This window comes from Homo sapiens, chromosome 18 (genome assembly GCF_000001405.40).
Source record: "Homo sapiens chromosome 18, GRCh38.p14 Primary Assembly".
Lineage (NCBI taxonomy): Eukaryota > Metazoa > Chordata > Mammalia > Primates > Hominidae > Homo > Homo sapiens.
Window position 1 is genome coordinate 69,928,580 of NC_000018.10, and position 16,108 is coordinate 69,944,687.

The window sequence follows — 16,108 nt, forward strand, 5'->3', positions numbered from 1 at the left end:
ATCCCTTATCCAAAATACTTGGGAACATAAGTGTTTCAGATTTGGGATTCTTTTGGATTTTGGAATATTTACATCATACCAGCTGAACATCCCAAATCCAAAAATCTGAAATCTAAAATGCTCCAATGAGCATTTCCTTTGAGCATCATGTTGGCATTCAAAGAGTTTTGGATTTTGGAGCATTTCAGATTTCAGATTTTTTGATTTGGGATATTCAGTCTGTAGTACACAGAGTGAAAGAGTAAGGGAAAGAAAAGGCACAAGCAAAAATATCTACAATTCAGAAATGCAGAGGATGCCTAGGGAATTTGCACTTAACCATGTTTGGCTGAAAAAAAGGAATGCAAAGTGACTTTGGAAGGTATGCAGGGACCAAGCCTTAGAAGACCTTGAACAGCACTTGTAAGAATCAAGATTAACCACGTAGGTGAGGGCTCCAAAGACAAATTCCCAGAGGGTCCAGGAAGATCATGGAAATGACCAGAGCCAAAGGTATTACAATAGGGAAGAGTGGGGATTGTGGGTGACTCAGGAATATATTATTTACAAAAAGGTTGCTGCTACCCAGCCTAGAAAATGCTGCCAAGCAGAAAACTTATGGCAGTATTAATAGTCCATCCAGATGTGCATATGAGTGTTTCTGATCTTCCAAAAATGTGTTGGTCAAATGAAATGGGTGTTACAGGCCACTTGTTTGCAAACTGTGGTGTGGATCGTGAGGACACCCTGGATCTAGTAACATCCCTTCCATCTTGATTTCTTCATGTACTTGTAACATCATTTTATCAAGTCACTCTCATGTGCTAGGTCCTTTTTCTCCCTATATGCTCCATAGTCTATCCTCACTTTTTAAATTTTGCTTTTTAAATTATGTATTAATAATACTATCTCCCTCACAGGGACAATGTGAGGGTTAAATGAAATAATCAATGTAAAGCCTTTAGAGCCCTGCCCAGGGCTGCCACATAATAAACATTCAACGGTTATGAATGTGAAGGAAGACTAGCCAAAGCTCTCTGTGCATACTCGTACACCCATGACTTTACCACATTTGCATCTCCAACCCAAGTTCTCTCTTGGGTTCTGATTAAAAAATCCTCCTGCCTGCTAGAGAGCTTCACTTGGATGTCTAAACCTAAACGATTCAACCCCACTCCGGAGCTTCTCATCTCATTCTCCCTGATGCAGTCAATGACAGCACCATCTACTCAGGATCCCAAGTAAAACCTGGTGCCACTCTTGAATCCCTTTTCTATTTCACACGCAACATCGAATATATTATGAAATCTGTCATTTCTCAATTTCTCTCTCTGTCTCTGTGTGTCTCTCTCTAGCCTATTGTCTGAGCTCATTCCCAGAAATATGGAAATTCCACAGGCTGCATGCCATCTCTGGAGGTGATCAAGAATGAAGGAGGTCTGGCATCTCTCCTCTGCACCATGAGCACGGGCAACTACAAACAAAATCCTACTGGGACTGGAGAAGAGTCCAAAAACTGGGGTATTTGATACATCATTCCTGGGAAGATGATGGGCTACATTATTCAGATCAGACTTTCAGGTAAAAGCATCTAGATGACAAATATTTTTTAAAAAATACAAAGAGGTAAAAGATGAGTGTTTTGAATGAAGGCTGTTGCAATATGGTTTGAGATAAATGGATATGAGGTGTCTATTTTGCAAGTCTAGACACTTAGATGTGAAAAATGAGGCAAAACAAAGCATAAAAGATGACTTCTATGTTTTTAAGATGTGGGAATATTGACTCAAATGAGAAAGACTGGGAGCAGGACAGATTTGTGAAAGGAGCAAATGTATTTGTGAAAGGAGCAAAAGCATCAAATCTCTGAGAACACAGGGACCACCGGAAAAATCCAGGTAGAAGTGAAAAACTAGAGACATAGGGACGTGGAAGCCACTTCTGCCCTGAGCACACCTGCCAGTCTAAGCAACGTGAACTCTGATTTTTGAACCTCATACAACACGAAAGAAATAGGTGTCAAAACCCAGGACCTACCTGAAGTGAGAATTAAAAAGAAGACCTTCCTCTTGTCTTGTCGAGACCTCTAAGTGATACTCCTTCATGGTAACAATGACCTGGAAATAAGCATGTGCTCACCCGCATCCCCAGGTGAATAAGGGAAAGAAAGAAAATCCTTGAGTAGTTCTAAGCACAAATCAGTCCTCATGTGGATTTATAGCCTAAATTCCCATAGTACAGGTGCTCCATAAAGCTCAGGCTGAAAGTAATCCAGGTTTCGACTCCTCTGAGAACAAAGGTCCCTTCATGTTAGACTTCAGAGAATCCCCAGAAGGCTTTATCAAGGACTATGAGCAGCACACAGTGAAAAATAACCACAAACACTGCGGCACTATTCACAGTAGCAAAGACTTGGAACCAACCCAAATGTCCAACAACGATAGACTGGATTAAGAAAATGTGGCACATATACACCATGGAATACTATGCAGCCATAAAAAATGATGAGTTCATGTCCTTTGTAGGGACATGGATGAAACTGGAAACCATCATTCTCAGCAAACTATCACAAAGACAAAAACCAAACACCGCATGTTCTCACTCATAGGTGGGAATTGAACAATGAGAACACATGGACACAGGAAGGGGAACATCACACACCAGGAACTGTTGTGGGGTGGGGAGAGGGGGGAGGGATAGCATTAGGAGATATACCTAATGCTAAATGACAAGTTAATGGGTGCAGCACACCAACATGGCACATGTATACATATGTAACAAACCTGCATGTTGTGCACATGTACCCTAAAACTTAAAGTATAATAATAATAAAATTTAAAAAAAAGAAAAGAAAGTAATGACAGGAAGAAAAAAAACTGAGCAAAGAAGAAAAAAACAGACAACAGAGATAGAACTACTTTAATATTACAGCATCAGGCATAGATTACAAAATAACTAAGTGTACTAATTCTGGGAAAGATGGAGGTGTGTGCACTGCAAAACACAAATTAAGGTAGAGAGACCGACAGAACCATGAGTGAAACTTTGACAAAGCAAGTAGGCAGGGAGCAGTGTTCCAGCAATTTCTGAGCCAAAGCTCTGGCAGTTGTAATAGTTTTTTAAAATGTAAGACCTGAATCTTCAAGAGGGGAAGAATTCAGAATAATGAAGAACACACTAGGAATAAAATTCATCTTGAATATGCCCCATCTGCTTTATCCCCACTTAAGCTGCCTTAGTTTAATTCTTTTTCATCGCTTGTCTGACTTATTCCCATCACCTCTGCATTAGTTTGCTAGGGCTGCCATAATAAAGTACCACAGACTGGATGGCTTAAACAACAGAAACTTATTTTATCGCAATTCTGCAGGCTAGAAACCCAAAATTCAGGTGCCAGCAGGGTTGATTCCTTTTGAGGCCTCTCTCCTTGGTTTCCAGATGACCCTCTGTGTCCTAATCTCCTCTTCTTATTTGGAAACCAGTCATATTGGATTAGATCCCACCCTAATAACCTCATTTTAACTTAATTACCTCTTTAAAAGCCTCATTTCCAAATAGTCACCTTCTGAGATATCAGGAGTTGCAACTTCACCAAATAAACTTGGGGACACAATTCTCCTGACTTGTCTTTCCTCTATTCTCTCTTACTTCCAATCTCTCTTCTAAACCCTGTCTGAGTGCTCTTTCTAACTGCAGACTAATCGAAATCCCTTGCCTAAAATCTAAAGTCAAAATATCTTAGAATAGTGTACATTTGTGACATGACACGACAATGTAACTAGAGGGAAGTAAAGCTCCTACTCCCAGCCCACTGCAAAGAAAATGCATCTAAGTAAGCATGTGGGTTTGCTGTGAACATGCAGTTCCAAATCAAGTGTTCTGAATGCCCCCTCTTCTAAGCAAAAATCTGGAGCTCCTGCTGATCACACATCAAATTTCTTTATCACCACTATCCACCCCTCCAAGTTCACCACCTGGCACCACTACCCACTTAAATTAGCTTTTACTCAGGCTTTATGATCCATCCTGCAATTCCCAAGCACACCAGCCTCATTTTGCTTTTGCGCCATTAGCATGATTTCCCTCCAGCAGGAATGCCATCCAGCTAACAGCATGACCACGCTTCAGTCCGTTCTCATCTTCCCTCATGAGTAAGCTCTCGTGTCTTCTGATCTCTGAAGTTCCTTGAATGACCCCTTCCCTCACTCCACAACCCTCCTTCCCACATGCACACACATACACTGTCACGACCCACTCCTAGCTCCACCAATTCCCGTCCTCTGCACACAAACAATGTAAGCATCAAGTCACACAGAGCCTTGAGCTTGAGATGAGGGACTGGGACATTTCTCCTGTATGCCTCCAACCTCACACAGGCCCAGCATATGACAGACATTCAATAAACATTTATAGAATTAAAGAGCGGGGAAATGGGAAGGAGAAACTTGCAGCAGGGGAGCTTTCCTGGTGTGTAATTTGGAAAGACTGCTCTGGTGGGCTGCACCGTGGGGGCAGTGTCCTCCCTCACTGCAGGGCCACAGGCCTCCCACTTTCTTGCCTGTTTTCGTGTCTCCTATCTGCCTGCTTTTGTGCCTCCTATCTTTCTGCCTTCCTACCTCTACATCATCCTCCGTGCTGTTGGTAGGGTCATGGCTCCCAATCATGGCCAACATGAGACTTTCACTATTTGAAAACTTTACTAACAACCAAATGAAGTCCAAAATCTGGACCTTCCACCCTCCGACCTTCCCCTAAGCCTCTGGCCAAATTTGTTTTTCATGTGCCTCAAACACAAAGAGCATCTCCCTGGTATGCGATGTTTCTTGTGATGCACTTTCCTGTTTGAACTTCCTCCCTCTTCCTGCCAGCCCTTGTCTCCATTCATCCAAATTACACCTATATTTCCAGGCCATGGTTTCCCCAAACCAGAAGTAACCTCTGTCACCTCCAACTCCCCAAACCTTGCTTTAAGCTACTTTCCAAATTCCACCTTGCATTACAGTCACTTGGCCCAAACGTTTTACATGGCGTATAGGCATACATTCTTTCTTTTCCTCACAGCAAACAATAATATCTATTCAACAGATTTAGGTAAGATTTACAGGGATTTTTTAATTACTGTTATCATCCTTCATCCAATAAAGCAGATTCAATTACCTCTGTGTCATTTGAGCAACAACAAGGTTTAGCCATTTTCCCTTTAGTTCAATTCTGCTATTTTCACTGAAAACAGAATAATCAGACCATGTTAAGAATGAAAATTCAAACACTGTGTCAGCACAAAGAAACACAATGTGAGTAGTTGAAAATATTTTCATCTTATTAAATGTTTGCTCTTTCCAGAAACATTTATAGGATTTAAAGAGAATAAAAGGAAGAAGTTACAAGCCCTATGTTAAGTATTCTTTATTTCACTTAAATGAGCAACTATGTTTCTTAAAAGATAATAAAGAGGTATTTTGAGAAATCTGATGTCAGGAGTTAATGGGACTTTACAAAGGATCTCTTTTGGAGACATATACTAACATTACCAATACAACAACTGAATTCTTTGGCTGTTTCTCACATGAAAAAGGTATACATTCAACTAGAGCTTCCAGTTTGCAAAGAGAAATAAATGTATCCTATTAGTGAAATGAATTAGGTAAATGACTTAAAATTTGCTATAGTCTCGGGTTCTTTATATATCATGAAGGAAATGATCCTGTCCACACAGAGGATACACACACACACACACACACACACACACACACGCACGCACACCCCTTCACTAAGCAATTCTGGAAATATCGGTGTTGGTAGCATATAGAATTTTATGTAGCTGGCCAAGAATTGGAACAAGTATGTTCTTAAGAGCCTGTCTGCTAAAATGAGAATGTTAAGTTTCTTAGGATTCTGCTCATTAAATGGTGCAGCTAAATGCTCCCAGAATTAATGCCCAGATTTTATTCTGTTTGGCCACGGTCACCACTGTGTGCAGATATGATGCACATAGCTATTTACAACACTAGTAAGTATGAATATTGTGTTTTACACCTCCATCCTTGGAAGTCTTCTTATATCAGTATTCTATGAAACATGGCTCTTTCTCTCGAGGCAGATTACAAAGAAGATTTTTTTAAAGTGTAAGTTGGTTAAATAGCTGAAGTCAGGAAAAATTTTCTCACATTAAGAGTTATTGGATTGTGAATAATCTCTCAAGGGAAGTGCCAGAAGCCCCATCAACTGAGTTATTTAATTAAAACTGCTCAGGAGTAAGTAGAAGAGATGTTGCCTGAGGGAATAATTTCACACTGATCCCTGAAGGATTGACTTGATGGTCTTGAAATTCTTAACAGTTTCAAAATCTTAAATGTCTTCAGAAATAGTCTCCTACCATTTTCTCCACGGAAAGAAAAAGCCATTCTGCCTGCAACCTCCTCTCCCTATAAAACCAAACAAAAACAAAAACCAGCAACAAAAACCATAACTTAGAAACCAGATCTTTTTATCGACGCTACCTAAACCATCACAGGACAGCATTAACTCAAAGATAAAGCCACAGAGGAGCTCCAAGCATCAGTAAAAACTGAGAGCTTTACCAGCTAAGAGCTTTTGGACTTTCTTCAGTTACTTATTTTCTTTTTGTTTGCTTTTGAATATCTCAAATCTCACATTTTTTATTTTACAAAATGCAATTTATAATGTTACTTTCAGTTAATAATGTGATCTGTTAAGAGGTAAATTCCTATAAGGCCTTTTTGAAGGTCACTCACACCTACTCACTAATCCTATAAGGAAGTTTCCCAGAGCAAGTGCTGGAGAACAATGCCCACTATCTGCAGCTCTCAACCTTTGAAGTGAGGAATTTTTTAAAAGATCACAGAAGCCGAGATGGTCTGAGGAGGAGTCTCAACGTGTGTGGGCTGAACATGTTCCACAGTTATTTGACAGGCATTGAAGGCTATAGGACACCAGCTCTTACTCATGTGTGAGGCCACAGTCCCCACGCTGCATTGGCACCCACACACCACCAACACCCATTCTGAAGAGGAAATGTATTCCTCATGTTGTGGTTGGCAGCCGCCTTCAGTGCTGGGTAAACAGCTGTTGTGGTAAAGGTGTGAGTTGTCTTGATCACTGAGAGTTGAAGGAGGAAAAACCAAGAACTGTGTAGTTTCCAGCTATACTCACAGAATGTTCTGAGGTCACAGGAGAATCAGTGTCCGAAGCTTCAGCTGTAGCCCATTCTCTATCAATTCAGCCAAGCATACCCCTACTCTACAATCATCTTGAAAATATAAATACCTACAATAAGAAGGGTACAGTTTCAAGTTTACATAGGTAGTATAAATAAACAAAATGGCTGCACACAAAGATGGCAGCCAATTCCACTCCCTGCTCTGGCTCGCCTGACTGCATTTGACAACAAGCCCAAAGTAAAAGTTTCCTCTGGATTTTGCTACAGCTCAGAAGTGTCAAAGACTGGGGTGTCTCACGGGGCATAAAGGAGGTGAAGGAGGTAGAGAGAAACCCAGGCATCGAGACAGACGGACAATCTCAATCCCCAAAAATCCAAGCCTGTACCCGTGCCTGTACGTGAATTCCACTGTATCAGCCATTCGATTATTGAATTCAATTGTGTATATAAATTTAGTATTATCTGGCTTTAGAGAGTTTTTAAACTTTCTCTTTTTTTTTGATTTTTGATTACAGAGCTTTGCCTGAAAGCCTGAGGGTTGATTCCCACAGTGACATGTGTTCTTGTGCCTGTTCCTTCCTGGGCTTAGCACAGGGAAAGCACGTGGATAAAAACAACCTTGGCACACGTTCTGGTAACCATCCACTTTCAGTTTCCCATTTACTTCACCCTTGAGAAGTGCAGTGACCATAACCTTGCTTTCTGTGAGTCTTAAAATGTTTTTTATCGTCTGCCTTCTTTATATACTATTTTATTTCATTACGGAGTGAGATTTTTAAGCCTTTAAAATGTTTCTGCTTCATCCCTTGTGGATTCCTTATAGGTACCATTTAGTATTTTTTTCTTTAAATGAAAAACTGCTAAAATGTAACATTTTTTAGTCTTGTGTGTGTGCATGCATACACACACACATGGATATATAAAACCTTTATGACTTATTTCTAATCTCACCAGAATGGGCCTGAAGAGAGAGCTTATGGCTTCATTCTCTAATCAGTTGACTTGGAATGACTTTTTTTCTTATTTCTCCATCTGACTTAAGAAAATTAAAAGTGATAGAGATACATATGATAGACAAAACTGAAAAAGGTCTACACAAGGACTAAGGAAGCTAGCAGGAATTGGTGACCCTTATAACAGGAGAATAAGAAAGACTCTTTCTCTGTGGCCTTCTTAACCTTGTTTGAAATTTCCTTTGACAGGCAATAGCCTTTCAGACCAAATCTCCTCCTCCATCACTTTCACCTGTCATTAATAGATATGATAGTGTCATTTTCGTATGTTTTCTTCCTTCCTTCTGAATTTGGGATAGGCAAAACAAAAGCCGAAATGAAAGTGTGCAAATACCGTAAGATAGGTTGTAAAATACAATTGCATAGTGCATCTGGCTTCCCTTGCCTTTTGAAGCAGCAATTCAACATGTCAACCAAGCCATGAATTGTAAACCGGAATAAATTGCTTTAATTTGTTGATCAATTCTATGTGTTGGTTCAATTTTAGAGGTTTTTGGTGTTTTGTTGTTGGGGTCCTTTTGAACAATGAAAATTATCTTCCAAAGTAGGTTACACTGGAGCCTACTATCTAGAAAATAGCTGTCTATTTTCTAGATAATTTTCTAAAGCAATTCTCCTGGAATAGTGCCTATTAATCTCAACATCCAAATTTTCTGGGTTGGCAGTTCAAATTCCACTTTTTCAGGGACTCTGCCCTGAATTTCCTAGGTAAAATAAAATTATATCCTCTAGACTACAATGCGACTTATTTTTTTGCCTCAAATAATAATTTGTGATATAAACTTTTCTCTCTCCCAATATTCTACATCCTATTTAGAGCTAAGATCTATGTCTTTCTATCTTCCAAACCACTGAACATTACATTGTACATTGTAGATTCTCAGGAAAGACTTGATGAGTGAATTAATGGATAAGTGGGTTCAGCTCCTGCAAATCAGCACACCCATTTATAAAAGCCAGATTTGAGACACTTCCCTCTCCCCAGCTTTAAATCAAATTTAAAGGCTGAGATTATACCCCAGCATTAGAAAAATGTTGGCCATGCTGCCCTCAACTAATATATAGGCCAGCATGATCTTTAGAATCCCTTTCATCATAGGATTCCTCAGAACTGCCATCAATTCTGGAGCCCTTAATATTAAAGGAATCTCTTTAGTGCCACTAACCAGCAGATATATACAAGAATGAAAGAAAACTTTGGCTGCTATGTCAGCTGCTGGGAACCTGGACAGAGAACACTTGTCCCTGAAGGGTGTAGAGATAAGAGCCTTCTAAGAATGAGCATGGATGGCATATAAGGAGCCTCATCCCACCTGGGAGAGAATGAGACTCTTAAAGGGAAACAGTGAGGAACATCTCTGTGCCCAGTTTGAGATAAATGGACTGGAATATGGGAGATCACAGAGTCAGCAAACATACAATACAGCCAACACAAAGTACCTGCATGTGTGGAGCAAGAAAATCTAACCCTCTACTATAAATATGAGTTCTATGTGTCTTCTGCTCTCACATCAATAATTCACCTGTTCACTTTCCTCTCCCTCCCAACTCTCCCCCTCTTTTCTCTATGCCCTCTACATTCTTTAACATGAACACCTTCTTTAACACACTACAATGTGACCATCCTCCAAGCCACAAGCTATGACCTTAGACTTCTGCCCCCATCCATTGGTACTTTCTTAGTTAACCCCATCCATCCACATGTGCTGGATGATCATTCAGATGACTTCAAATTGGATATTTTCAATCCTGGTTTGTTGTTCCATAATTTCAATTGTCAGCTGGTCAAAGGCTACTTTACAATTTAATACACCTGAAACAGACTTAATTCCACTCTTGCTAGCCAAGTTGGTCTCTTAATTTCACATCTTTTTCACTAAAATCATCATTTTTTAGTCCTTGGATCATAAAAATTTGAAACCATTGCTGAAACTTACCTCTACCTGGCCCCCAGGCCATATCAGAATGAAGATTTCATCCTTACCTTAGAGCTTTCAACTGCTCAAAAATTGCAATCACATCTCTTTTCACCATTAGAAATCAGTAGATTTGGCCAGGCAAGGTGGCCTATGCCTGTAATTCCAGCACTTTGGGAGGCCAAGGTGGGGTGGATCACCTGAGGTCAGGAGTTTGAGATCAGCCTGGCCAACATGGCAAAACCCCCATCTCTACAAAAATACAAAAATTAGCTGGGTGTGATGATGCAGGCCTGTAATCCCAGCTACTCAGGAGGCTGAGGCAGGAGAACCACTTGAACCCAGGAGGCAGAGGTTGCAATGAGCTGAGATCATGCCACTGCACTCCAGCCTGGGCAACAGAGTGAGACTCTGTCTCAAAAAAGGAAAAGAAAAAGAAATCAGTAGATTTGAAAGAAATCTTCTAAAACATTTTGAGACAAATGCAAAATAAAACACCTGTATAAGGAAAACACCCTGACTATGAGCCTTAAAGACCCTTTCAGCCCTTCCTGATTCTATTCTATCCCCCACCTACCATGTTTCTGAACTTTGCTTTTCTTTATAGTTTTACCACGTTTGTATCTATAAATAACGTATTGTTTAATTATGCATATTTCTAAAACCTTTAAAGAAAAGGAACCCTAGTTTACCTATTTTTTTTGGTAACTTGCTCTTTTCTTTCAACACAAAGTTCATGAGCTTCATCCATGTCGGTGAGCAAGTGATAATTCACTCATTTTAGTGATGTAGAGTATCCTAATGTGTGAATAGACCTCAGTGTGCTTTTCGGTTCTACTGTTGATGGGTATTTGGGTTGTTACCAATTTTTTGCTATTGCAATCACTGTTGCTATAAATATTGTCAGGAATTTTCCCTATAATGAGAGAACTCTTGGATACCAAACAGAGTAGAATTATTGGATCATAGGATTTGGGGTTTTTAACTAGCTAATGCCATATCATTTTCCAAAACAGGTATGATGGTTAATTTTACGTGTCAATTTGAAGGGTGTTTTGGGATGAGATTAACATTTAAATTGGTGAATTTTGAATAAGCAGTTTGCCTCCATAATGTAGGTGAGCCTAATTCAACAAAAAGACCAGCCTCCCCAAGCAAGAGGGATTCTGCAGCAGATGACCTGGGCTTCACCTGTACCATCGGCTCTCCTGGGTCTGCAGCCTGCAAGCCCACACTGCAAATTTGGGCTTATCAGTCTCCATGATCATATGATATAATTTGGCCGTGTGCCCACCCAAATCTCATCTTGAGTTGTAGTTCCCATAACCCTCACGTGTCGTGGGAGAGACCAGGTGGAGATAACTGAATCATGGGGGTGGTTTCCCCCATCCTGTTCTCATGATAGTGAGTTAGTTCTCATGAGATCTGATGGTTTTATAAGGGGCTTCCCCTGCTCTGGGCACTCACTCTTCTTCTCCCTGCTACCATGTGAAGGACATATTTGCTTCCCCTTCCACCATGATTGTAAGTTTCCTGAGGCCTCCCCACCCATACTGAACTGAGAATCAATTAAACCTCTTTCCTTTATAAATTACCCTGTCTCAGGTATGTCTTTATTAGCAGCATGAAAACTGAGTAATACAGTAAATGAGTACAGCAGAGAGTGGAGGGTTGCTGTAAAGATATCCACAAGTGTGAAAGCAACTTTGGAACTGGGTAACAGGTAGAGGTTGGAACAGTTTTGAGGGCTCAGAAGAAGACAGGAAAATGTGGGAAATTTGGGAACTTCCTAGAAATTTGTTGAATGACATTGACCAAAATGCTGACAGTGATATAAACAATGAAGTCCAGGCTGAGGTGGTCTCAGATGGAGATGAGGAACTTTTTGGGAAATGGAGTAAAGGTCACTCTTGCTATGCAAAGAGTTTGGTGGCATTTTGCCCCTGCCCCAGAGATCTGTGGAACTTTGAACTTGAGAGAGATAATTTAGGGTATCTGGCAGAAGAAACTTCTAAGGGGCAAAGCATTCAAGAGGAAGCAGAGCATAAAAAATTTGGAAAATTTGCAGCCTGATGATGCGACAGAAAAGAAAAACATTTTCTGGGAAGAAATTCCAGCCAGCTGCAGAAATTTGCATAAGTAATGAGGAGCCAAATGTAAATCACCAAGACAATGGGGAAAATGTCTCCAAGGCATGTCAGAGACCTTCATGGCAGCCCCTTCCATCATAAGCCTAGGAGGGAAAAGTGATTTCCTGGGCCAAGCCTAAGACCCCCTGCTCTATGCAGCCTCGGGACTGCATATGGTGCCCTATGTCCCAGCCACGGCTAAAAGGGGCCAACATACAGCTCAGGCTGTTGCTTCAGAGGGTGCAAGCCCCAAGCCTTGACAGCTTACACGTGGTGTTGGGCCTGCGGGTGCACAGAAGTCAAGAACTGTGGTTTGAGAACCTCTGCCTAGACTTCAGAAAATGTACAGAAACACCTGGGTGTCCATTCAGAAGTTGCTGCAAGGGCAGAGCCCTCATGGAAGACCTCTGCTAGGGCACTGCAGCAGGGAAATGTGGGGTTGGAGCCCCCACACAGAATCCCCACTGGGGCACTGTCTAGTAGAGCTGTGAGAAGAGGGCCACCATCCTTCAGACCCCACAATCTGAATCTGATCCACAGACGGCTTGCACCATGCAACTGGAGAAGCCACAGACACTCAACACCAGCCTGTGAAAGCAGCCAAGAGGGGAGGCTGTACCCTGCATAGCCAGAGGGGTGGAGCTGCCCAAGACCATGGGTGCCCACCTCTTGCATCAGCATGCCCAGGATGTGGGACATGGAGTCAAAGGAGATCATTTTTGGAACTTGAAGTTTTAATGACTGCCCTACAGGATTTCAGACTTGCATGGAGCTAGTAGCCCCTTTGTTTTGGCCAATTTCTCTCATTTAGAATTGGTGTATTTATCCAATGCCTGTACCCCTCTTTTATCTAGGAAGTAACTAACTTGCTTTTGATTTTACAGGCTCATAGGCGGAAGGTACTTGCCTTGTCTCAGATGAGACTTTGGGCTGTGGACTTTCAGTTAATGCTGGAAAGAGTTAAGACTTTGGGGGACTGTTGGGAGGGTATGGTTGTATTTTGAAATGTGAGGGCATGAGATTTCAGAGGGGCCAGGGGCAAAATGATATAATTTGGCTGTTTCCCCACCCAAATCTCATCTTGTAGTTCCCATAATCCCCATGTATTGTGGGAAGGACCCGGTGGGAGGTAGCTGAATCATGGGGCCAGTCACCTTCATGCTGTTCTGGTGACAGTGAGTGAATTCTCACAAAATCTGATGGTTTTATAAGGGGCTTTTCCCCCACCTCACTCTGCACTTCTCCTTCCTGCTGCCATGTGAAGAAGGACATGTTTGCTCCCCTTTTCACCATGATTGTACGTTTCCTGAGGCCTCCCCAGCCATACTGAACTGTGAGTCAATTAAACCTCTTTCCCTTATAAATTACCCAGTCTTAAGTATTTCTTCACAGCAGTGTGAGAATAGACTAATACATCATGTGAGCCAATTTCTTATAATAAATCTCCATGTATATACACATTGGTTCTCTTTCTCTGGAGAAGCCTGACTAAAATAATAGAGATACCAATTAATCCTCCTGCTAGCAGTGTGTAAAGGTTCCAATCTACAGATGCCTATTTGCTTACCTTGCCTGCAAACTCTTACTCTCCTAAAAGACTGCAGCTAGTGTAATCTTTTAGGTGGTGAAAGAAAAATCTGGTTTTATTTTGTGTGTCTCTCTAAAAACTAGTCAGAGATGTCCCCTGGTCTGCATTACAGACAGAAGTCAAAATTCCATTAGGCACATCAATAACTTTTCGGGTTTATTTCTGACATTCTGCTGCCCTAGTGAGCTGCAACTCCTTTTTCAAGCACAGAATCTACTGTACTAAAGCTTTTCCTGAAACTCTAAAGTATCATAAGCTGAGCCCCTTTGCTGGTGCATGCAGGGAGAGAGTCTCACTCTCACAGTGTCTTCCTTTCCTGGGAGGCTGCCTCTCAGGCCACCTCTGTGGGTGTAGGGGGCCTCAGAGCCCAGGGTGAGAACCACATCTTATCCAAATCCAGTGCCCTAGTCAGAGAAGGCCAGGCTCTGCCTCTTACATGAACTTTACACCTCCACTGTGCCCTTCTTTAAGCCATCAGTACCCCCAGGACACCCTTCCCTCTCTGTCTTCTCTCTTCCCCAGACCCCGGCCTCTCTAATTAAAATATTCCTTCCAATTCTTCAAGGTCCAGCACGACTTTTCTCTACCATGGCCCTCCCTGGTTCATTCCACTGGAGTTAAGATCTCTGGCTCTTCAGAAAAATCAACTGGGGTCATTCTGGTGCTGCCACTTGGCAGCTTGATAACCTTGGACAAGTGAGTCTACCACCCTGAACCTCAGTGTCTTCTGTTGTATTACGGGAACATATTACCTCCCCATAGTGCTTCATAAGGATTAAATGAAATGACACGCAGTTGCATCCTACAGAGCAGGCACCCAGTAAACACTAGGTGGCAGAGCATTCTGAGTGGGTCACTCATTTTGGGGGTATTTCTGTAAATGCAACTATATTTGCTTTAACTGACTAATAAAGCCAGAGACACGTAGGTGACAGTAGTTTTCTCCATGACCTCACAAACTCTGCTAGAAAGGGCTATCTGGAAAATGTGGTCCCCCAAGTCATCTCTGCATATTTTCTCACAAACTAGGTAAAAACAAATGCATTTATTCTTACCATCAGAGTCTCTAAATCAATTGCTAATGAAGAAATGCCTGTTCTGGAAAGAACACATATTTTCAAATAACTTTGTATTAGTAGTACCATTTATTCAGAATAAGATGTCCTGTTTGCTCTTAAACTCTAGGCTGAAAGCTGGAGAGGGGTAGCATTGATAGGAGGTACAAAGGCCAAGGTCTCCTTCTTCAAGGGCCCTGGTGGGTTCCCATGTCCCCCAGGCTGACAGTTACATCAATTTGCAACTTTATCTGCTGGGACATACGTGAAACTTAGGGCCTTGGAAAGACTACTAGACCTCACTGCACTTCAATGTCATCATCTGTAAAATCAGGCAATACAAACGTTCAAGTGCACACAGGAGATTCAAGGAGGAAGTCTATGAAGATCCAGACTATGTAAAATTCCGCACATAATAAGCTATCAATAAATAGCAAAAAATCAACATATTTACAGAGCATAGGGCCCAACTCCTTCATCCTTCTGAAGTTCTTACAATCCATTATACAAACTAGGATTTCTAGATTCCAAGTCTTTTTTTTTTTTTTTTTACTATTTAATGTATTTTCAACTCCCCCTTTACAGTATACAAAAGTACAATATTTGCAATCCCAGTATGTTGTTACTGAAGTACATAAGAAAATTTCAAGCACACCTAAGGTTAATTTTGAAATACAACTAATATTTTTTAAACTCACTATCATTCTTAGTTTAAAAAAGTGAAGCTCTCAAACTCTCAAAATAGGGTAGAATGCCCTCACTAGCCCATTGCATCAATCTGCTCTTTAAAATACAAATAATCAAAACAAGAGCAATGGATCATGGCTAAGGATACCATCATGAAGAATTCAAACTAGACGGACAGCCGGTATTCCTTCCTCTGACTGAAAACTGACTGAAAATCTCCACATTGTATTTTTTTAAGCCCCATGAAGGTGACAGCTCTCTTTTCCTAACCTCAAAAACTAGCAGTAATGACAAATCTGGATGAAAACAACAGGAAATATTCCGAAGACTATTCATATGTGATGTTAAAAATCCTACCTTTGCATAACAACCATCATTTAGTTCTCTACAGGTTAGCTCCATCCTCTATCCTGAAAGGTTGAGCTGTTTTCAATTGGTTGTCCTGTGACAGAAACCAAAACAGCTAATTTGGAACCCAAACTTTAAAGGCATACCACACAAGGCAGCAGTGGGGAGTGCATCCTGTTCTAGCTTTGGTGGCTCAGGCCTTGTTTCCAATGG

The 16,108-nt window shown here is 41.2% G+C and overlaps 1 protein-coding gene across 8 annotated transcripts in view, besides 3 other annotated features; it reads right to left on the reverse strand.

The window, feature by feature from the left end:
- Positions 1–16,108, reverse strand: part of CD226 (CD226 molecule) — a 108,500-nt gene that overhangs the window by 75,306 nt on the left and 17,086 nt on the right. The window lies entirely within an intron of this gene.
- Positions 6,593–7,792: an enhancer, noted in NCBI's record as "P300/CBP strongly-dependent group 1 enhancer chr18:67602408-67603607 (GRCh37/hg19 assembly coordinates)". NCBI's record gives its function as "activates an origin of replication core promoter dependent on BRD2, BRD4, P300/CBP, MED14 and CDK7 cofactors, with strong dependence on P300/CBP, by STARR-seq in HCT116 cells {active_cell/tissue: HCT116}" and the evidence as "EXISTENCE:reporter gene assay evidence [ECO:0000049][PMID:35650434]".
- Positions 7,179–7,398: an enhancer, noted in NCBI's record as "active region_13476". NCBI's record gives its function as "activates an Ori minimal core promoter by ATAC-STARR-seq in GM12878 lymphoblastoid cells {active_cell/tissue: GM12878}" and the evidence as "EXISTENCE:reporter gene assay evidence [ECO:0000049][PMID:35858748]".
- Positions 11,243–11,582: an enhancer, noted in NCBI's record as "active region_13477". NCBI's record gives its function as "activates an Ori minimal core promoter by ATAC-STARR-seq in GM12878 lymphoblastoid cells {active_cell/tissue: GM12878}" and the evidence as "EXISTENCE:reporter gene assay evidence [ECO:0000049][PMID:35858748]".